At 44.8% G+C, this 23,750-nt stretch overlaps 1 protein-coding gene and 1 long non-coding RNA gene across 9 annotated transcripts in view, besides 1 other annotated feature; one reads left to right on the top strand and one right to left on the bottom strand.

The window, feature by feature from the left end:
- MIR4713HG (MIR4713 host gene) overlaps nt 1-23,750 on the bottom strand; it is a 256,425-nt gene that overhangs the window by 19,926 nt on the left and 212,749 nt on the right. The window lies entirely within an intron of this gene.
- The window catches only part of CYP19A1 (cytochrome P450 family 19 subfamily A member 1), a 130,540-nt gene that overhangs the window by 64,610 nt on the left and 42,180 nt on the right, over nt 1-23,750 (top strand). Inside the window, exon 1 of one of the 8 annotated variants that reach the window (NM_001347253.2) lies at nt 18,198-18,469. The exons of the other annotated variants lie outside the window; for them this stretch is intronic. The gene's annotated coding sequence lies outside the window, so the exon portion shown is untranslated. Of the gene's footprint in view, nt 1-18,197; nt 18,470-23,750 lie in introns of those variants that run through there. 8 annotated transcript variants of the gene reach the window in all.
- Nucleotides 6,488-7,121: an enhancer, noted in NCBI's record as "H3K4me1 hESC enhancer chr15:51559063-51559696 (GRCh37/hg19 assembly coordinates)". NCBI's record gives its function as "activates a minimal SCP1, AML or CMV promoter by ChIP-STARR-seq in primed H9 embryonic stem cells {active_cell/tissue: H9 hESC(primed)}" and the evidence as "EXISTENCE:reporter gene assay evidence [ECO:0000049][PMID:30033119]".

Below are 23,750 nucleotides of genomic sequence, written 5' to 3'. Positions count from 1 at the left end.
GGCCCAGGCTGGAGTGCAATGGCATGATCTTGGCTTACTGCAACCTCCGTCTCTCGGGTTCAAGCAATTCTCCAGCCTCAGCCTCCCAAGTAGCAGGGATTACAGGCGCCTGCCACCATGCCCGGCTAATTTTTTGTATTTTTAATAGAGATGGGGTTTTGCTATGTTGGCCAGGCTATTCTCAAATTCCTGACCTCAGGTGATCCACCCACCTTGGCCTCCCAAAGTGCTGGGATTACAGGCATGAGCCATTGCAGCCGGCTGTCATTTTTTAAAAAGCATAGCATTCTTACTCTGGGAACTGACTTAGAGGTTGCTTAGTTTGGACTTCTCGGAGGTGAGGGGCCTGAGTTGAAGTGATTTTCCCAAGGGCTGTGCAGCTAGGCAAAGGTGGGATAGAGCTCAGTTCTCTTGACTCCCATTCCAGTGCTCTTTCCTCTGTACCATAATAGTTGCTATTCCTAAGAAGAGGGTGAGAGTAGACTATTACCCTTATTTTACAGATAGAAAAACTAAAGGCATAGTTAGATTAGGGATAACTGCCACTCCAAAACTATGAAAGTTATTAAATCTATGAGAGTGATTTAACTAACTGCTTCCCTGGATTAAAAATTTTTATTTTGCCTGCTGAATATAAACATGTAAGGTTCAGTGTTAAAATGAACACATCAGAGTGTCCAAACACTATTCTGCCTATTGATCATATAGTTTCTCTCCTGTATAAAAAGTGAGGAAGGGGGTCGGGTGTGGTGGCTCATGCTTGTAATCCCAGCATTTTGGGAGGCCGAGGTGGGTGGATCAGGAGGTCCAGAGTTCGAGACCAGCCTGGCCAACATGGTGAAACCCTGTCTCTACAAAAATTAGCTGGGTGTGGTAACGTGCACCTGTAGTCCCAGCTACTCAGGAGGCTGAGGCAGGAGAACTGCTTGAAACCAGAAGGGCGGAGGTTGCAGTGAGCCGAGATCATGCCACTGCACTCTAGCCTGGGCGAAAGAGTGAAACTCCATCTCAAAAAAAAAAGTGAGGAAAGAAATGGAAAAATGGTCCCTCCCATTATGAAGCCTGTTGTCCTAACCGAGTATGCATTTATGGAATCCCTGAAAAAGACGAATCAGTGTATATCTGCATATCTGTCTATCTCAACTGTCACAGCCAAACTCCACACCAAAAATCATAACCAGGGGCATTGTAAGCAGTGGTCCTTGTGGATTTTTCTCCTGCTGGGCCAGTTTTTTCCCCTATAATAATTACAAACTTCATACATGAGTTTGGTACTACTCTAGAGGAGGCTCTAGCAAAACTACCCTGCTGTAGAGGAGCAATTATAGGAACTCTGCAATTCTGATGACAGTTCTAAAAACATAATGTGAAGGTACGAACTCATTAATATACAGTTCTCTGTGCCAGGTTCTGTGCTAAGACCTTCATGTAGCTTTTCTTATTTAGTGTTCACTACCTATGATGTCGATATTCTGAGCACCATTTTCCAGATGAGGAAGCTCAAACTCTTCTGCCAATGAGGCCAACACCATAGAGTGGTGTTTGTTTATAAAATGTATATTTTATTGCACTCAAACGATGTACCTGGCACTGGTCTAGATGCTGGTGCTATAAAGTTAAATAAGACATGATCCTTGTCTTGAAGAAGCTCATAGCCTAATGAAGCTCATTTCCAGTTACATTTGAGAACTTCTGCTCTTTGGGGCTAGTCTAATAGCACACAAGAGATTTACTCAGGAACACGTATCTTGAAGGTTGGGAAGGGTTGGAGAAGAAATACGAGGATAGGAAAAGATATGGCTGAGGTTAAAACTGAAGGGAAAAATCGAAGATGGACAGAAAGTTGGCACTCACGGTGTGTAGAATACAATGGGCACAAGCATGGATGAGAGAGTGCTGGGTTGTGCAAAAGTGTCAGCCAGCCTGGTGTTTCTCTCTTGGATGAAGGAGTTCCACACTGAGGCACAATATAAACAATGAACTTGGTGATATAGGACAATAGTAGAAAATCCTAAAAACCAAGCAAAGGAGTTTGGATGTAGTGAACAGATAACGAAGAACTGGTACAAAATCTGCTGATGCAAACACTGCTGGCTTTTTAATATCACCAGATTGTGAACACCTATTATGTAAAAAGTGCCAGAGGAAAAGATTTTTGTCAAAGTAACATTGACCCTGATGGGGGGATAATATGAACTAGAAGATCAGTCTTTGGAAATCCTTGGACTAATCAATCAAAGAGTGGCAGTAGCCACAGAGGATACAGCCTGACCTCAGACTAATTCAGAGAAAACAATGGGCTTGACTCAGTGAGTAGATATGGGAGAAGAGAAGAAGGAAAGAAAACCAAAAGGATGGTGGGATCCCTAGAACTAAAGAGAAGTCTAAGGCTTAGCTACCTGGTTAGGTAGAACTGTGGTGGAGCTAGTTTGTCAACAAGGTTTAGATCTTGTAAATTGTCCACCCAAGTGAGAGTATTCCTTGGAGATGTTAAATATGTCACCCAAACTATAAATCAAGACACGTTGGGTCTCAGAAAAGATGTACTCTTCTGAGAGTACAGGAAGACAGGGGAACGATCTGGAAAACATCATTTGGATGCTAAACTATTAGAAATTTCAAGGTGTTATAATTTTTTATGGGTACATTAGGGTTAACTGGGTAGTCAGAACTTTAGGTGACTCGCAGGCCTGGTTAGAGGGGTATTGCTCCCACAGGTGCTTGAAAGAGCATCTCTAAGAATGAGAGAGGGACAGAACAGAAGATCTGGAGACCACAGACTGTATGACCTGGGTGATTAAGAAGAGGGCGATAAAAAAGAATCAGGACAGAGTATGAATAAGAAGTGAACAGAGATGTGAGAAGAGAACCAGAAACAAACTGAGCCACGTGGTTCCAAGGAGACGTTCTCTGCAAAGGCAGCAGAGAAGTAAAAAAAAAAAATGCTTAGACTTGCACATAGTTCATCAGACAGGGTGAGAGGGAGGCCACTGATACCCTCAGAAAGCAATTTGGGAGGAACAGGAACCTAGGAAACCAGACTGGGTGGCAGTTGTTGTGGGGGTGGAATCCCAGAGCCTAGTCAGGCCTCAAGACCCACAGGGCCACGTGCTGAATGAACACAAGACAGTCGGTCTAAAGACTTGGGCCTCAGCAGAAACCCATTTTGGAATCTGTCTGCCTGTGTAGCCTGGGGATAGTCAGCTTGCGGTGGGAGGAAAGAGCATGAACTCTAGAGTCAGACGGATGGATTTTGGTCTTTCCTCAGAAAGAAACCAACTGTTGAGACCCTGTCAAAGAGATTTAATCTCTACTTCTTCATCTTTAAAATGGAGCTACTTCTACTTATCTCACACAGTGGTTTCCTTTTTTAATTTTAAAGACTCAAATGAGATAAGATGCCTATAAAATATGGGGGAGGTGTTCAGTAAATACCAATTTCCCTAGAACAGTGGCTGGTTATACTGTGTTACTTGGAGTATGAGATTTCTTCAGCAACTTCTAGAAGCTGTTTTTAGGGTGAAGGGGTTCCAGGTAGGGATAGGGATACTGATTGGAGGAGCTCCAGCTACCCACATCCCAGTTTTACCAGAGCACCGGGATCCCCCAAAAGCTTTTGCTTAAGGCGGTAGGGGAGGAAGCAGAGACCAAACTACTGGGACTAGTAATGAATTCAGCAAGGTTTCAGTTCAGGATACAAGGTTAGCATACAAAATCCAATTGTATTCTTATATACTCTCAGCAGTCAATTGGAACATAAAAAATTTAAAACAATTTCAACACAGTAGTACCAAAAAAAAAACCAAAGAATACTTAGGAATAAATCTAAAGAAAGATGTCTAAGACCTCTACACCAGAAATTACAAAACATTACTGAGAGAAATTGTAAAGGACCTAAATATATGGTGAGATATATCACGTTCGTGGATAATTGGCTGTATTGATCTATAGAGCCAGTAAACTTCCATTTAAAATTTCAGCAGACTTTTTGGGGTAGAATTTCAGTGTGTGTTTGTTAGGAACCTTTAAGAAGCAGTTGGCAAGACTGCATTAAACATACAAGAGGTTTACAGGGGCAAATGACTGGGAAAGATAAAAAGGGAGGGAGCGGGAGTAGGCCAAAAAGCTTTCAGTCCCCAGTGTAGTCTGGAATCTGTGAAAGAAGAGAGGGAAGGGCGAGTTGTGTGGAAAGGGCTTCAGACAACAGTATAGCTCTGAGACAGTTTCAGTCAGCAGTAGGGAACCCCCAAGCAAAGATTGCCTGTTGGAAGAGTCCTGCCTTGGCTGGAATGGGCTACCACTAGTACCCTTAGCATGCTTGTCATTGTTTAGGAGCTACCCAGAGAAATATGGCCTTTCTGTGAACATGGTGGTGAATCCATAGGGTGGAACTGTCAACTATGCTCCAAATAGTAGTAGTAGTGGTAGTTGTTGTTGTTTTAAGGAGATTTGAGCAGTCCACCTCCATGGCAACCCCATAAAGTAATTTAAAAAAAAAAGAACCAAGTTGGAGAGCTCATCCTCCAATTTACTAATCTTGCTTTTATATTTCAAGACCTACTATAGCTATAGTAATCAAAATAGTTTTGTGTTGGCAAAAAATAAACATATAGATTAATGGAACAGAACAGAAAATCCAGAAATAGACCCATGCATATATTGCCAATTTTTAATAAAAGTACTAAGACAATTCAATTTGAGGGGGGAAAAGGGCCTTTTCAAAAAAACGGTGCTGGATATATCCATAAGAAAGAAAAAATAATAACCCTATTAACCCTTACCTCATACCATATACAAAATTTAACTCAAAATGGATCATAGACCTACATATAAAACCTAAAACTATTACACTTACAGAAGAAAAGAGGAGGTGACCTTGGAGTAGACAAAGGTCTCTCAGAACACAAAAAAAGTAGGAGCCATAAAGACACTTGACAAACTTGATCAAAAATTTAAAACTTAATCCTCAATAGACACAAAGAAAATAAAGCAGAGCACAGACTAAGATAAAGTATTCAAAACAACACGTATCAGACAACTCGAATCCAGAATATATATATATTAAAAAAGTCAATAAGACAACCCCATTTTTTTAAATGGGAAAAAAGATTTGGCCAGATGCTTCATAAAAGATATATGAATGGCCAGTAAGTTCATTTGAAAATGCTCAAAATTATTAATAATCAGGAAAATGCAAATTAAGATCGCAATCAGATACCTCTAGAATGGCTAAAATTCAAAGACTGAGAATGTGAAGCAACTGTAACTCTCATATACTGCTGATGGGAATGCAGTGGAACCTCGGAAGATAATTTGGCAGTTTCTTAAAAAGTTAAATATACACCTGCTATACAGCCACTGTTAGATTTTTACTCAAGAGAAGTGAAATATATGTCCACACAAAGACTTGTGCACTGACATCCATCATAGCCTTGCTTGAAACAGCCAAAAAAAAAGGGGGGGGGGGAAGGAAACGATGGAAATGCTCCTTAAGAAGTGAATGGGTAAACTGTGGCATAGCTATGCAATTGAGTACTGCTCAGCAATGTTAAGGAACAAACTATTGATATGAACAATAAGAATGAAACTCAAAATCAATATGCTAAGTAAAAGAAGCCAGATGAAAAAGAGTACAGACTGTTTGATTATGACAATAGAATTCCAGAAAGCACGAACTGATCAATAATGACAGGGAGCAAATCAGTGGTTATCAGGGGATGGGTGTGGAGGAAGGATGGGTGACAAGTGGGTGATGGAAATTAAATGCCACCTTGATTTTGTAATGGTTTCACAAGTGCATGTGTATATGTTAGAGCTCATAAAATAGTACACTTTAAATATTTGAGGTTTATTGCATGTTACTTATGCTTTGGCGAAGTCCTTTAAATGGGATGGGGGAGGGTGGGTCTGATGGAAGGAAAGCAACCCCACCTCTACAGTAAAAAGATTTGACACGTGCTCTGGAGGAAACCTAGGGGAAAGTGATATGGTACTTTGCTTTCATATTTATCTACTTAGTATCTGCTTCTTCCCCAGGGTGGGGAGGGGCGAAGGCGGAGCAATGCCTAGTGCCAACCAGTTGTGGCGTTCAGGCTCCTTCCAGTGCTCTCGCCTGCTAAGCTGGGGTGGGCACAGGGAAGACCCTTCCCCGGGGCATGGGGAGCCGGCAGGGCTGGTTTCAATGGCAATCCGCCATAGGGTCCCGCGCTCAGAAGGGGTCCCGCTTGGAATCTAATGAATGCTCTGCAGTCACCATATGAAATTCTTAATCATTTTTCCTTCAAATTCGTGTATTGTAAGTGAAGTGCAATAACACAGTGGATGCTTGAGAGCTTGGACTCTTGTCTCACCCCGGTCGCGTCTCCTGCGTCTTCCTGGGACAGGTTCTGGGCCCCCACCCGGCGAACACCGCTGCCCTCCGCCCTGGGCAGTGGCCGGCCACGGACGTGGGGGCGGCGCAGACCTCGGCGTACAGCCAAGGGACCTCGCCGCCACGCTGGGTCGCCTGTGAGGGTCGGCCTTTGGCCCGCCAGCGTCCCTGTGCTCAAGCCAGCGCAACTTAACTAGCAAATAAACCCTGCCGAGACAGGTGGACAGAAAGACCACGGGAGAAAGGGAAAGGCTTTTTCCTGCTTTTTGAACGCGGGGCCCCGCGTTTTTATTTTGCACTGGGCCGCGCAGATTCTGCGGGCGGCACCGACCGCAGGCAGCCGGCTGGAGACCGCTCGCCGCACCCCCTGCCTCGCCTAGTGCCCGAGCTGCTCCAGCTGTGAATGGGACACAATACGAGGAGCTGGTTTTGCTCCTGAAAGCGTCCAACAAAAATCTGGCTCGATTCGCCCTGCTTGGGAGTGACAGAGACCCAATCTTTGTCATGAAAAGCAGGAAACGGGAGGGCAGCTTTGCTCTCCAGAGCAGGGAATGTGTCTGGGTAGAAGCAGGGAAAGTTCCTGCCCACCTCAGATTTTCTTCTGGATGCAGACTGCCCTGTTCTTTGACTTCCTCTCCAGTGTGGAATAAGGCTGAGGGTCTCAATTTGGTGAAAAAAGTAACCATGACAACAGTCACATCGTGGAGAGCATAGTAAAATGTGTAAAGCTCACTGGCAATGCCTTCCCTTCCAGAATGAAAGCTCCTCTAGTCAGACAACGACTCAACGGCACCAAAAGAGCGGAAGGGAAGACCAGACCAGGGAAGGCTTTCCGTGCCCTGCCCTGGGGCCTTCCACAGATTAGGGGACCTCCGTGATTTGTCAGCTCTTTGCCTCCAGCTTTCTCACACGGTCCGGGGCTGCTTTCGAGAGCTTATACTAAAAGGGCAAGAGCAGAGATGAGCTGTTTTTAGGAAACATGTGCTACAAATGAAGTAAACCCATGGAATTTCAAAATAAAAATAAACTTGGAAAGTTCCACTAAAAGGCTTAGGGCCTGATAGAAATTGTGCAGGAATCCTCGACTCCGAGGTTTGAAGAAGGACTGGCAGAAGCTTGTCCACCTTCGTCTAGATGAGGAGGGAGGTGCTTCTCTTCCTGCCACAGGGGAGGCTTCCCACTCAGTCCTCCTTCCATAGGCAGGACGAAGCAATCGCATCTTTAGGGGGCACTGGTTGGAATGAGAGACAGGTGGCCTGGGCTCCAAACTCTGTCACTAATTAGCTGTGGGACCTTGGGTACATAGTTTAACCTCTTAGGATGCTCCAGTGCTTGCCCTGCTCTGTCCGTGGAGATGCAAGTGCCTTGCAAGGAGAGGAATGTGTCATGTACATAATGTGATTTGTAGGCACACATCCTCATGTGTTCATTTCTCTTTGCTCTTCTCCCAGCCTGGCAGAGTAGGGTTGATTGGATCTGGAAGCTTTTTGTGAGGTGAGAGCAAAATCTTTCCTCAGTTGGCTCTGGGCTGCACAGCTGGGGAGACTTTGGGAGAGAACAGAAGCTTCTTTTACCTTTGTGCAAAGGAAGCCAGCCATTTCCCTCAAGGTTGGCGGAAGCTAGATTTGCTATGTTTCTGGAGCTATCACTAGATTTATCCAGACCAGGCATATCCTCTAGCCTGTAGCCTGACTGGCTCAGTGGGCATCCAGGGATCCGAATGAAGCTCAAACAGCTAAAAAGGGCAGGCAGATAACGACCAGAGTATAATAAACTGTGGGGGAACGGTTGGCACTGAGGAGAGCGGAGAGCCCCTGCCCTGTGGAAAGAGGGCAGTCCTTGCTTGGGGACAGCTGGTTGTTGCCACAAGGTAATGTGATTCCTCTAGAGCCAGATCTGATTTTTTTCTTAAAAGAGGCCTGTAATCTGGACTTTAAGATATCCAAAATTTTAAATAAAGACAACGAAAGCAAATGTAAAACTCAGTATAAGCCAAAAGAAGACAGGTGAGCAGGTCGAGTGGGTGAATGATAGGAAACTGCAGTCAGGACTGGGAAATCTGAGAGCAATGCACTTTTGCCTGGGTTCCCACAGAGAGCCCTAACAGGAGCACCCTGCCTCCCTCAGCCTGTCTTCCTCCCTCCGGGCTGAGGAGACTTTCTATCTGTCCCCATCCCTTTTGTTCAAGCCAATATTGTGGCCAATCCTTGCCTAACTTTTATGGGATCTGGATTTTGAAACTCAAAATATTTATTTTTTCCATCTGCTTTCTGCTTCCCTTAGGCAATGAAAAATGCTCAGCTGACTTAATGTGGGGAGGGAGTAAAGGGCAAACAGGTCAACATCTCAGAGGGAAGGGAGGACATGGAACGCTGTCTGACCTGCCCGCAGCCAGGGGAGGTGGGATCCAGAATGGCAGGCTATACTGGGTGGAGGAATGCCACACACATAGCCTTGGAGGCCCAAACGGGGCAGTGTGCTTGGGAAGTTAGGCCCAGTTTGATAGAGCTGCATGGAGCGCAGGGCAAGTGGCAGGGGATGAGACTGGAAAAGTGGATGAAATAGGATTTATGTAACATAAGAAAGTGTAATTGGCTCAAATGTCTGATTACTTATGTGTTATTTTTGTAAAGCTGGTGACCCAACCCTACATTGGTTTTGTATAATTTAACATCTGTGCACTTTGAAGTGACATACATTGAAGAACCTTCAGAGTGTCAGAAACCATGACCTGGAAAGCACATCTATCCTAATTTGGGGGTGGTCTTGATCTCTATGAAGTATCCAAACTGATACTGATTGGACTCATTTGAGGATATCAAGTAACATCAGACTTCACTGAGAGGTGTGCCACCGCTGTAACCAAGGGACTGCTACTACTTTCTGCCTGCACCCCACCCCAGTTCCTATTCCCTGTTTCCCCAGCTGCATCCAACTCTTCTTGTTCCCCGGTGATCCTTCCAACTCTTTCTCTTCACTATATTGGGGCTGGCCCCTGAAGACTCCATTTTTTCCTTCTGCCCTGCGTTTTCAATAATAAATTCTATAATTTCAGTGCTGGGAGCTGGTGTTAGTGTCTTCCAGGCAACTCACTGCTGTCCCTTGACCGTCGTTACTCTTTCCTTCTAAAAGACTGAAATCTCCTGTAAGGTTCACTTCACACTATCCACCAATTCACCCTGTCTCCCCTACTAACCAAAGGCTTTGGTATCTTTCTCGGGGTCTTACCCTCCCCCCCGACTCCTGCCATCATTCTAAGTAACTGAATGTCCTTGTGGCTGATCCAACCAATGCCCTGACTACCCAGTTCCATGATGACTGCACCGTCAGTGATGTTATTTGCCCTTTCACCTCAGCACACTCACATGGACACAGCGGTGAACCTGTCATCATCAGAAACTGTGCCTCCTCTGAAATCTCATTCTCTTGCCACCACCCTCCAGCTCCCTTGCTCAAGTCCCTTCTCTACAGCAGTTCTCCAGCCTCAATGAGATTTCCAAGCCAATGGTCCCTCCACTTTGCCTATGTCCATAAATCTCCTCCTATCTTCATTTTCTTTTGTATCTAGCTCAGAGGCCATGGTTCTTCCTACAGTGTCCTAAAAATACCACTAAATCCTTTGTTGACCTCTCAGTTGTTCCCAGATTTACTCATGCCTGTTGCCTGAACAGATCAGAATTACTGGAGAATGTGACACAACTGGGCATTTTGGCATGGCTCCAACTTCATGCTCTCCAAACTCAGCTGGGACCTCCACACTGCCTAGCAGGTTTACTGTGCTTTTCTAGAAGCTCCCTCCATGTTCACAATCACAATCTCATTTCTTCCTCTCAGAGTTGGAATGCTTGCAACCCCTTTATTCCCAGAGCAGCAGCCTGGGAGGATTGGATGGGTCCATTGGATTTGCTCCTGTCCTCTCCTTTCATCACTGCCTCCAGCAAAGTACAGTCCCTCCACAGGTGCCTGGATCTCATGCCTTCCTCCCTGGTCAGGGCTCTTGTTCTGTCAGCTATACCCTCTCTTTTCCAAATCTTTGACCTCTTCCTCACTACTGGATTTTTCCCTTCAGCACTCAAATATATGCAAGAATCCACCCTCACAAACAAAGCCAAGCAAGTGAAAACTTCCCTAACTCCACACCTCTGTCAAGTTATCACCCATTCTGTCTATTCTCCTTTAACAGCCACGCTTTTTGACCATTATGCATAGGCACTGCCTCTACTTTATCTCCTCCTCTCCTTTCCATTCTGGCTTCCTGCTTCACCACATTGCAGAAACTGCTCTTGTCGTGGTCACCAGTTTATCCAATGTCAATGTTCTGCCTGCATCTGACTTGACCACTCAGCAGCCCTTTATACAGTTAACCATATCTTCCTTCTTGAAACACTCTCTCTTCCGCTTCAGTGATAAAATAGGGGTTTTTTGTTTGTTTTATTTACACCTTATGACAGTTCTTTCTGAGGATTTTTTTTTTGTCTGTTCCTTTTCCTACCAAATTCTAAATTCTTGAGTTCTTTGGGAGTTCATATCACAACATATTCTGCCTTGCAATTTCAGCTTCTCTCAAGACCTTAAATACCATCTCTACAGTGGCCAAATTTAGGTCCCTGGTTTAATCTTTCTTGAAATCTTAACTTTTCCATTACAGAACTGAAATTAAGTACTTATTTGGGTGATTATCTATATTTTGCTTGTCTCCCCTCCTAGACTATAGGCTCCAGGAGTGCAAGCATTGTCTTTTTTTTATTCACCACTTCCATAATCCGTTGAGTCAGCTTCAATGTCAATTCCTACCCAATGGGTTCATGCTCTGTCTGCCAAAGGCCAAAGCAAGTATCATGAAATTTTCTAAGAGCTAGGACATGTCACTGCAGCCTTTTCTCCAAATTTAAGTGTGCAACTATATTTTCTTTATTGCAGAACAGGAAGTCAAGTAGTTTCTTTTGCCAGAAATGGGGAAATCGTATATCAATAACCCTAGCACTGGGGGAGTGAGGAGGCCTCAAGTCTGTGAGTCCAGGCATGACATGGCAAACTCTATAGATTTTGGAAGACTAACTGTCAGCAGTAAGGAAGAAAAATTGGTAGGAGGAGAGAATAGGGGCAGGGTTATTTGTTGTGATTCTGTTTCAAGAGAGGGCTGATGAAAGCTCATGGATGGCCTTGAGAATAGAGAGTGCTGAGACCACCTCAGCTGGGGAGACCCTAACCCAGTGCGCTAGAGGAATTAAAGACACACACACAGAAATATAGCATGTGGAGTGGGAAATCAGGGGTCTCACAGCCTTCAGAGCTGAGAGCCCTGAACAGAGATTTACCCACATATTTATTGACAGCAAGCCAGTGATAAGTATTGTTTCTATAGAATATAGATTTACTAAAAGTATTCCTTACAGAAACAAAGGGATGGGCTCTGGCTAGTTATCTGCAGCAGGAACATGTCCTTAAGGCACAGATCGCTCATGCTATTGTTTGTGGCTTAGGAACGCCTTTAAGTGGTTTTCTGCCCTGGGTGGGCCAGGTGTTCCTTGCCCTCATTTCAGTAAACCCACAACCTTCAGCATGGGCATTATGGCCATGACCAACATGTCACAATGCTGCAGAGATTTTGTTTATGGCCAGTTTTGGGGCCAGTTTATGGCCAGATTTGGGGGCCTGTTCCCAACAGAGAGGAAAGGGGAAAGGAGGGACTTTCAGAGATGAAATAACAATTGATTGGGGGAGAGATGGTGGGCAGTGAGAAGTGGCCCAGAACCTGAAGACTCTACTGCTTCACCCATCGGCCTCTCCAATGGGCCCTCACTTGCATGCTATTCTTACTCCCTGGGAGGACCTGCCCCACACTTCTCTCCTTGGAATTCTATTCCTCCACCATGACCTCTCTGAAACTCTCCTTGACTACCCTGCGAAAGTAACTCTTTCTGTTCTCTTTACCCCCACAGCACTTGTCAAGTGGTCAGTTTTATTTCCAGTTGTATGCAACACGAGTGCTTATGCAGTTAGCTATATCAAGGCATTGTGCCATCTGTAATGAAATGGCTAAAAAACCCATACATTTGAAGAAACACACTTGCTTTCTTTATTTCCTTGACTTGCAGTTAGTATTAACTGACCAAAAGCATTATCTTCCTCTTTTTGCTTTTTTATGAAGTTTTGGTAGGTCGTGTTAATAATACCCATTACTCATTTCTCTGATAAGATTATAGAACTGCAAGGTCTTGGATGACATTGGCCTGCTCCTTCTGTTACGGGTGGGTCTTTGTTCTTAGAGCTCCCAAGATGGTGGTTGGCCACTCCCAAGATGGTCGTGGGCCACTCCCAAGATGGTGGCAAGCCTTTTGTTGTCTGACCTGGGGTTCTTGGCCTCACAGATTCCAAGGAATGGAACCTTGGGCCATGCGGTGAGTGTTATAGCTCTATTAGAAGCCGTGGGTCATGGAAGAGAACCGTGGAACCCAGCAACTAGTGTTCAGCTCGATTAGGCTGAACCTGAGCACTTAGCCATGCAGGAACAATGGCGAGCCTCTAGCCCGATCGGGAGTGGCGATGGGCACCTCGCTGGATCAGAAGGTCAGTGGACACCCTGCTGGATCCGGAGAGGTGGGAGTCAATGGTGGGTCTGTGATGGTGGCATTCAGCAGTGGTGGACTGTGAATGAAAGCTCAGCTCGAGCCAGAACAAACACGGACCAGAAGAGTGTGCAGTTGCAAGATTTAATAGAGTGAAAACAGGGCTCCCATACAAGGAGAGAGGACCCAAACAGGGTTGCCCACACCTGGCTCGAATGCCTGGGGTTTATAGCCTGATCATTGTCCCTCCCTCTGTGCTCTCAGGCAATATATGATTTGACTATTTCTTTACCTCCTGCTTTTAGCCCAATTTGTATTTTAGTGAGCCCTCTTTACTACCTGATTGGCCGGGTGTGAGCTGAGTTACAAGCCCTGTGTTTAAAGGTAGGTGCGGTCACCTTCCCCAGCTAGGCTTAGGAATTCTTAGTCGGCCTAGGAAATCCATCTAGTTCTGTCTCTCACTTCCTTTGATTTTGAAGTAAACAATCTCTTAACTTTGGGATAGCCTGAGACACCACCTCTGACTTCTAAATGACTCAATATCCCGAAAACCCGTGGTAATCTCAGTCCGTCTCAGCTGGTTCCAATTAACCTCTTTCCAAGCTATCTGTGTGGGCCTGCTTTAGCCTTTTAAAAGGAACCAGACGTTTTTAGTCACAATGGATGCATATGATAGCATGGTTTACCTCAGATATGCTGTGGGTTAGCTTCTATAGGCTTTCTTATATTTAATGCTTTCCCCTGACTTCACATTTAATGCTTTTCCAAAAATTTCCCAACATCACTAAGGCTTCAGCAGCCCTTTAGGACCAGTATTTCTGGGAAAACACTCAAAATACATCTGAATCTGTGTCGTATATCATCACCTAGAGCATGCCACCATCTAGTTTCAGCAAAATCCTAGTGATTCCACCAGACAAGAAAGATTGCCTCACTGGGAGACAGTTGCTGATTCCTGTTGCCCTTCACTGGTCTACTTTGATAATTGGCATATGCCTTTCCTGCGGCATTTTATCACATAAAGCTTTGCTGTTTTTATCTGTGTTCATGTCTTTCTCTCTAGATGTATCATTAAAGGCAAAAACAATATTCATTTAGTGTTCTTCTTACCTGTCCTTCTCTCCCCAATACTGGAATCCTAACACCATGCATTGCACTTTTTTGGTGTTCAGGGTTCTAGGAAAGCTGGTAAATGGATGAATCATAAATGTAATTTGGGGCAATTTTTTCACAAAATGTGTCACCTATCTTTGTCTTTTCTCTGCCCACTCATACTGGCTTTCTGTGGCTTCTCCCCATCTGTCTAGCATTTCTCTCTACCTCTGAAGAATATCAGTCTGGTGCAGCCCTAGCACCTTCTTTGGACTCATTGTTAAAGATGTTGAGGAAGGCTAGCTCCAAGGTTTACCGTTTGCATTTAGAGAACTGTCTTACCATGCCTGGTTTCTTCAGCCCTGATAAGACTATGCCATCTTCACCCTCCCTTCCCCTGACCCTTCCTTAGCCACCTCATCCAACCTATGGCAACTCAACAAGAAAAGCTTACAAAGTCTTCCTTGGCAAAAGAGCTGGTTGACTTGAGCCAAAGGAAGCTAGGTGCAGTGTCCGATTCACTCCCCCAAATCCCCCTTGAAACTGGAGAATTGAAAACAATCTGGTTTCTCTCTGGGTTCTTTCATTATACCATGTTTTCTTGCATATAGACAGAATAATGTGGTTGTTACAATTATTTATAAATGTAGTGTATGCCAGGAACTGATCACTGTGTGTAACGGATACACCATTATTTTTCAAGGAAAAAAAATATTTTGGGCTTTGATGATTACTAGACAGATGTCCTTGGTGATAATAATCACAGTAAGTCCCAACTCTACCCAGTACTTCACAATTCTCTCAGTGCTTTCCTACTTGTTGTCTCCTGTAATGACGTATCATATCCTGAATGGCGGGAGGGCAAGGATCATTAGTCTCATTTTACACATGCTCATTCTGGGACTGGGAGAGAGATTTCCTGATTTGCCTAAACTGCCACAGTTTGTCAATGATGGTGGAGGGATGGGGGCAACACTGAACCTCCAGCTTCCTAAGACTTTCCCACTTTCTCAAGCTTTTGTCGAATGTGTCATTAGTGGCATTCACTTTGGTCAACTTTGGTTCCTTGGGTATTGCTGGCTCCCCATTTTTTTGGATTTAAACTCTTCAAATTAAATAAATCAGATTTACATGTTAAAAAGAAAAGTCTTCTCTAAAAGACTCCTTCATTTTTGTAAATCTTTGTAATAATTTCAACAGACCTTACCTTAGAATTTCAGGCAATAGGTACATATCGTACACCTCTGTTAGTTCTTCCAGAGACTGGCGCAGGGGTTGGAGATGGGAGGGAATAGATGGGGGAAGGAATGTGGAGCAGGGGCCTGGACTCCAGTCCAAGCTCTGCTGAAGGAGGGCCTTTTCCAAAGTGGATCCTCCTGAAGGCAGAGGCTCTTCTAGAACACATAAATGTGCAGCATTGGCTAGTAGGAGTCCTGCTGGAACGAGGCTGAGGCACATACAGGATAGTTTATAGGAGAGTCAAGTCTCATGCATTAAAATTAAACAAGCACTTGGGCTTTGTTGGAATAAAGATATGCTAGAAATGTCACCAAGGATATATACCAAATGCCAAATGTAGTCATATACAATGAAGGAGAGCAATGGTAGGAGAGGTGTCGGCAGGCTGGAGAGAACAACAAGTGCTGTGGGCTAGGAACTGTGATTTGGAAGTGTGCAACCCAAACTAAAAGGAGAGAAAATGGTTACAGCCACTGGCAGCATCCCAGAGTCTTACCTACTGCCTCCGGTCCTTTGCAAGTAGGTAGGGTATAAATATAATGTTATCTGCCCAGCACAAAGGAGAGGGGAGAAAAGAAAGCAAGAGGCAGTCAAAGGGACAGAGCCTAGTTCTGAGTCCTGTTTTACCACTCAATCCCTGGATGACCTTGAGCAAGTTGCTTCTATTCTGGACTTCATTGGTAACAGCTAACTCACAGAGTCAATATGAGGATTAAATAAGACTATTGGCTAAAAGGTGCTTAGAATAGTGCCTAGCACAGAGTAAGCACTTAATAAGTGTTAGCTATTATTGTGATAATACATGCATAGAAGTATATGCATGCATGTACATTTACCAGTATGTACACATTTGCACACACAAAATGCCCATTGTGATCTGCAAGTAGCACTAGGATCCAAAAATTAAAAGTTATTATGTTCCACAGGCCACCTTGAAAAGTTAGGGGAAAAAAAAAACTTGACCTTCATGTGTTGTTGCTGTTTTTAAGTGGCTCAGCACTTTGAAATAACATTTGGAGGAAAGCATTGCAATGGAAGCAGCGCTGTGTGGGATTGATCCTGGAGACCTGGGCTCAGGCGCTGGAGCACAATGTCCAGGAAGCCAAGGCCTGTTTGGATTCCTTACGCCATGACATGGAGGCAAAGCTCCTCTTGGCTGCCAACCCAAGAGCCCACAGTCCTGTGAGCTTCACCCTTCCTAGGGCTGTTTGTGGTCTGGGCCCTCGAGGTTGTGGGAGACCAGTTTGATTGCTAAGGGAAAATCCCAGAATGGCTCTTCTTGTCCTTACCGAATCACTACCCTTCACCTTCCTGCGTCCTGCCCCAGCCTGGAGGGCCTACCTAGGCCTGCTATTACTTCCAACCCAGAAGTGTAGCGAATTGGGGCCATGACCACAAGGTTTACACTTGGTTACTTGGTGGAATATGAACTCTTGGGCAAGTTACCTAATATTGCCAAGCCACATCTGTAAAGTGGATATGAGAATAGAATCTACTTCATGGGTCTGATTGTGAGGTTTAGATATAATAAGGTGAAGTTTGGCACTCAATAAAAGGTAGCTGTGCTCATTCTTACCAGCAGCAACGAGGGCAGTATTGATGCTGCAGGCAGAGAGAAAGGGGGAGGCTGCTGCCTAAAGCACCCTTGCCACTCACATGTAATTAGGTGACCATACAATTTATTATCCAAAAGGAGACACTTAAGATTGGAGGGGGTGCAATTAATAATGGTGCCAGGACAACAGGCATAAATTGGGACAGTCTTAGGCAGACTTGCCCATGATTCCTTACCCACTGCCCACCCATCATCTGACTACACCTCTTTCTTCAAAGCATAGATCTCAGTGGGATATTTTTCTTCTTCCTGATCGCTTTGTTTTTTGAAGGGTATGATCGCTTTGTTTTTGAAGGATATGATTCTGCCATTAACATTAGCTATCACTTACTGAGGAGCAAACATGTGTTTGCCTTTGTGTTAGGTGTTTTATGGAAATGAGCTCTAAAATCCTTGCAGCAACCTTGGGAGGCAGGTGCTACTTCCATTACCCGGTTATAGAATGTGAGGCTTAGGGAGGTTAAGTCACTTGCCCAGCCAAGGTTACAGGTCTATTAAATGGTATATTTGGTATTTGCCACTTGCCATTTTAACAGCATTTTATTGGCCTTTGCGGATCAGAATGTTTAGCGGTGACCCCAGAATGACTTGTGCAGGACCCCCACTCCCACCTCTCCCCTGCTACACTCATGGGGTAGGTGTCAGGGTGTATATCTTCCTGTCATACATCCACCAATTCCCCAATTCTCAGGTCATAGCAGTGGGCTGAATAACCATTGGCTGCCCTCAGATTTCCGCAGAAATGGAAGCTTCTTAAATATAGGCTGTTAAACCTGGTTTGAGTTTCTTTGTAAAAGGAATCTTGTATAGTTTCCATAAGACCTAAAGATTGTACAGCTAAGCCTGCTGAAGAATTTGTCCTTATTTTTTCCATTTCAGATATTCCCAAGGTTAGGTAGAGGGGGTGGTGTTGAAGAGCAGGCTCTCTAGAGCCAATGCTGTTTATTAATAAGCTGTACAGACACGCTTCTTCCAGGAATGTGCACTTTTGATTCTGCTGTGGTGATAAAGATACTCTGCCTTGCCCATTAAGCATTTGTTGGTGGAAAACATTACCTTTAAATAAATGTCTGGTTCTATGTGAGCAAAGCTAGGGCTCCCATAAAATTGGGCAATGATACTCTGAATTCAGCTGAACTGTTTGGGCAACTTTGTCACTTCTGGGGCCATCATTTTCAGGATAGTTCCCACAGTGTGAGAAAATGACTGCTTCCTATAGTACTGTCAAGAGTGTGAAAAGAGAGCTCTTTAGCAAACACATTATTTATCCATCCTTAAAAAGCTTGTCACCTCCAGGGTGCTTGTTCAGAAGTAATCTCATTACTTAAATCATATCCTAGCATGTGGAAAAGCTCCCTGAGTTCCCCGCCTGCCCCACCTGCTGATTTCTCAGGACCGCTGATAACAGCTTTCATGTGGAACTTGGGATTAATATCAAGCAAGCCATGGATTTTGTCTCCACTGAACTTGGGCATCATGGACAGTTTCCATTCCAGCAGTTAAGGGCTTCCTGACTTTCAACAGTGGTGCTGATCCCAGTTCTGAAGAGTGGAACATCAGAGAGCCTCCCCTCCTCAGCCACTTGTAAGCATAACAAACTGAAAATGTAATCTGCTTTCAAATATTCTGTTGAGTAAAGATTCCTTTTAATTACTTTAACTGGGTTTTTGTAGAGACAAGGGACCGTTCTCTGTTTCCCATGTCATAAATGACTTTAATGAGAAATGGTGAACACATCAATTAGGGCAAGCCCACCTGCACTGGGGCTACCCTCCCTTCAACTCCCCATACCCTGTTGGGTAGAAACCATGTGGGAATTTACTGATCAGCTGTTCCAGAGACCCTTAGAACAAATAGCGTTTGCCCCCAATTACTGAATAATGCCTACATAATTTGGAAAGAGGGAGATTTCCTACTTTGGGTAAGAACATTGCCTCCCTCACCATCAGGGCCTTTGAACACACTGTTCTCTCTCCCTGGAATAAGTCACTCCTTGGCCATTTCTTCTCCTGGCAAACACTCACTCACCCTTAAGACTCAGCTTAAGGGAGCCCATGACCCTGTTTGAGGTTCTGGAGGGTTTTCTGTTACATCCTCCCATAGGACCCCACAGCTCCCTTCGATCCATCTCATCTCATTTTTCCTGTTAGCCAACTAACAGGAAATTTCAGCCACAAATGAGCACATATTAAGTAATCACTGTGCATTTGAGGAATGCCAACACCTTGAAAGGAAACCGCAAGTTGTAAACAGAGTTTATACCTGAGGAGACTTACTGATCATTCAAAACATTCAATATATTCAAGTATATATTGAATTGTTAGCATCAGAGACACAAACAGATATTGCATCCATAAAAACATAAACAGATAGTGGACATTAATATTTTAGTTTTTGAAATAAAAATGTGAATGGACGACCCGAAAGGACAAACAGATGACAAACTGGATTGAGAGAGTCAATCAAGGAATTATCCCAGAATGTAGCACAAAGAGAAAAGAGATGAAAAATATGAGAAACCAGGCAAGAAATATGAAGGATGGATCCATGAGACTGAATGTTTGTCTAATTGGTATTCTAAGAAGCAAAAATGGCAAAAATGGAGGGGGGTGGGGCCACAGTCAAATATTAAGGAAGAACTGAAGACTGCTTGAAGTCTCAGAAGTAAAAAGTCACATACAGATATCTCACTGGGGCCAATCCTTCAATCAATCACTGAAGATAGACTTAATTTGGGAAGCAGTCAAAGGTCATTTGCAACCAAGTGTGGTAGAAAAGATGGATAATCAAACCTAGTTCTTGTCGACTATGAGACGTAAGTTAAATTAGATGAAAAATTTTAAAATTATTTGCAAGGCTGATAATAGACTTCTGAAGATGCCTGGCCTCTGCTATCAGCACCCACAGGCAGTTTAGCTAGTTGAGTTTGCTCTGTTTTTCTCAAAACCTCCTTTACTTTCCTCGTATCACTGAATGGGAGGTAATGAACAAATTAGAAACTGGGGTCGACTAAGAGAGCACTGCCTCTCCTGTATTGTCCCTCATCAACTGCCTTTCTACTTATATTTCCACAATAGATATTATTGCTTCCTAACACAAATCTAGCCTCTTCATTTTTGTTATCCCCCAACTGCTTTATGCACTCCTACCTCCAGCATTGCAAATACCTCTCCTCTACTTGCCATCAAAATCTCAACCACATTTCAAGGCCCAGAACAAGTCCCATCATTCACGTGAAGCCTCCTTTCGTCTGTATGCTAATATCTCTTTGTACTTGTCAACAGTACCAAGCTTCTTAGTTTTCTCTCCCAATAGTAGACTGCAGGCTTCCCTAGAGCTGAGAGTGTGCCAAACATTTGCTTAATGATAATTAGGAACTTCTCCAGGTACATGTTACAATGAAAATATCCCAGGAGGGAGAACAAGTTGAAGGATTAGCCCCTGGATATGAATTATTTTGATGAGGTAATATCCTCTGACTGGGCAGAGGATAGTAGGTGGATAGAAAATGTGGGGAAATGACACATAAAAGGAAGTGTGGGTGGGAAGGGGCACTGGAGGCAAATGTTGAGAATCCCAACAAGTGTGTTCAGTGACCTCGTGGCTCTCACATGATCCCCTAATATAGCTGTGACAAGAGGGATGTATTGGGAGCTACACGACTACCCCACTCCCCAACCTGCTCCATGTTCTCAAGACAGATATAGTAACCTTTTCAAAGGCATATAGCTCTTTAGGGACCCCTGAGGGCACAACTCCAGTCCAAACTGTTCCTTCCAGCTACCCCAGGGACTGTCCATTATTATTTCTGCTCTTGCTGGAGACTGAATCATAATAAGTTTATTGAGGTTTTGCTATATGCTAGACACCTGATAAGGCCCTAACAGGCTTTATCTCGTTTCTTCCTCCTAGTAACCACATCAAGAAATACCACTATTTCCCCCATTTTTTTCTAATGAGGAAACTAAGGTAGAGATCTAGCAGTGGACATAGTGATAGAGGGTCCCCCTGGACACAGGAATGTGAATGGTGTGGGGAGGAATGCAGAAGCAGCTTTGAGTTTCCCCAGCCAATTAGTTTCTCATTCTCTCTACCTGCAATGCCCTTCCTCAGCTTGGTATCTTGCAGAGTAATGCTTTTCTTTCAAGACCTACTCATAAAGCCATAGGTGACCTTCCTAGGGTAGTCACTTTCTCCTCTCTTTTCATAGCTGTTTATGCCTCTGAACACTTGTGCAATCTGTCTTCCCCAGATTAACTCCGTAAGAGCAACAACCTCATTTCCCCATATTCCTACAGCCTAGAGCCTAAAACAGTGGCTAGTGGCTAGGATATTGTAGATTTACTCAGTGTTGGAGGTGAAGACAGTGGCCTCCACAGGCGCACACTCCGTGTGCCCTCCATGCACTGGAACCCTCCTTGGCAGAAACCTGGAGATTCCATGAGCCTTGATGCCCTCTTCAGGGCCACAGTGTGAGTCTGTCAGTCTGAGGGCCCACAGATGGGATATCAGGGTACCAATTTTGCCCCTCACTTTCCCCTTAAACGTTTCTCACTGATTCTGTGGACCGAAAAATGTAACACCCCATTATCAACTGTAATTTGGGGTCTAGTTAAAATGAAAAATCTTCAAGAGAAATTGTATTCTCTTATAACCTGGAAACAACTTTCTATCAGTCAGTGAAGGTGGTTTTAATCAGGAAAGAGCCTCTGGGACATTGGACACCTGAGGCAGAAGGTTGAGAAAGGAACTGGGCCCAGGAGTTGTTCATTTGAGGTCTTTGGATTGGGCTTTAGGGGGTCTGGGATCCCAGAATTGTACTGAAACTTTGCATGTTGATTCCCGAGTGTGTTTCTCCAGAGCAAGATTCCACCACGTTCACTGGATCCTTAGAATGGGTCTGGGACTCTAAAAGAAATGAGAAGAGCTAGAGAAGTTGGCCAAAGTGGGCCACATGCACCCCAGCCTCCCTGACGTCTCAGTGTATCTCTGCATACCTGGGCCTACAGGCACCACTGGCTGGCCTAAGACAACGTGGAAGAAAAGAACCAAGGAAGGCGGCAGGGCAAAGGCACAGGGAAGGGCTGGGGAGGGGCAGCTAAGACAAAGGGTAAGAATGCTGGGCAGCAGACACAGAGATACAGAGATAAGAGGGGCCCTGTGGCTCAACCCCCTCATTTTATAGATAAGGAAATGGACGTCCAGAGAGGCTAGGTGGCCCCAGCACTCTGGGGTCAGCTAGGAGCTTCCTTGCCAGAGTGTCCCTGCTCTAGGACATCTCTATGGCCTCACAGTCTGTTCATTAAACAACAGATAAGCTCTCAAGGAAAGGCCAGCAGTGCTGCTGCTATCTGACTGTTTGGGTGGTAGCTATGGGCCACTGAGTTGCTGGGACTTGGCATTTGGAATCACTGCTAAGATGTGCAGAAGGCAAACATCCCTCTGAGGATATGTGAATGTATCATTCTTTGATGACCCCAGGCCTAAAAGGCTTAAGAGGCTAACCATTGGTTCACTTCACTTCACAAACATTTACTGAGCACTTACTGGGTGTGAAGCACTTGTGGTAGCCCCCGGGAGCTAGATAGAAAAGCGAGGTGTGAGTCCTTGCTCTGGAGGAACTTATGTTGTGGAAATATTGACAGACATTCCCTGTTTCTGCCGTTACAAGAACTTATCATATCCAGGTAGATGCGCAGAAGGAAGCAAGGCCACTTGGGACCGCAGTGTGACAAATCTTGGATGCCAAGACTCAGGCATGGCTCTGGATCTCACCACAGAAAGAGGTTCAGGGGGCCTCTCTGGCTGGCGGCACCTGGGCTGCCCTAAGGATTGTGTATCCACTTGGGGACCTTCCGTCTTTGCTACCAGAGGCAAGGAATCCCACAACTCCATGTGCCACAGAGACCTTAAAGCCGGAGGAACGACAAACACCACCACTGGCACTTGGCTCCGGAGGCTTCCCTTTCGCCCTCACCTCAGTGTCCCGAGGCAGTTTCAGTGCTCCCCCTCAGCCCGGGCGTGGCAGGCCTGGGAAGTGAACAGGTCTCTGAGACTCGTACTCAGCTCATCTGGCCCCAAAGCCTGTTCTTGTGATGTGGTCTCTGGGTCTTGTACTCAGCTCATCTGACCCTAAAGCCTGCTCCTGTGCTGTTGTCACTTCTGCCTTTTCCTTCCTCAGGTTAAAAGCCCAGTTTTGGCTGGAAAATTCCACTACCTTATCTACTCTGGGGCCAGGTAACCTGTTAGGTCTTACAAAATTGAATTGAAAAGTGAAGTCATGGGAAACCTCTTAGAAAAATGACTGCTGTTCCTGGAACAATCCCCAACTGGCCCTTTCTGCCTCCTCCATAAGGCGAGGTCAGACTCCTCGTGAGAAAAACTATGGTTTGGGTGTCAGGCAACCCCAATGCAATAGGATCTGGGGGATCAACCCCAATTCAATAGGCTCCCCAAATAGTGCCCCCACTTTGTCTCATGGCCTGAAATGCCTTAGATAATCAAGAAGTCTTTTAAAACAGTCATTTCTCACTGTGTTTCAGAAAAACTTCTCTGGGAGACTCTATCAGATGCAGCCCACTGGGAAGACAATAGATTAGGTATCTGAGGAACCAGAAGCACCATCAGACAGGCAAATAGGCTAGCTGAGATAAGGGCACTCTTGGACTACTATTGCTTTTGACTGCCAATGTTCCCAAGTCCCAGGCTTGCTGGTAGTCAGCCAATAAGTCATTGTGAAGAAAGGAGTGATTCTACAAACCCACATGGAGCACCTCCTGGGGAGGTGTTGTGCTAGAAGTCACGGAACCTCAGAGGTGAGTGAGAAAGCCACGGTCCTGCCTGATGGATGCCCAAGAGCCTTGGG

The sequence above is a fragment of the Homo sapiens genome, chromosome 15 (assembly GCF_000001405.40).
Source record: "Homo sapiens chromosome 15, GRCh38.p14 Primary Assembly".
Taxonomy (NCBI): domain Eukaryota; kingdom Metazoa; phylum Chordata; class Mammalia; order Primates; family Hominidae; genus Homo; species Homo sapiens.
Note: the sequence above shows the minus strand (reverse complement) of the source record. Positions and strands in the feature narration are given on the sequence as shown.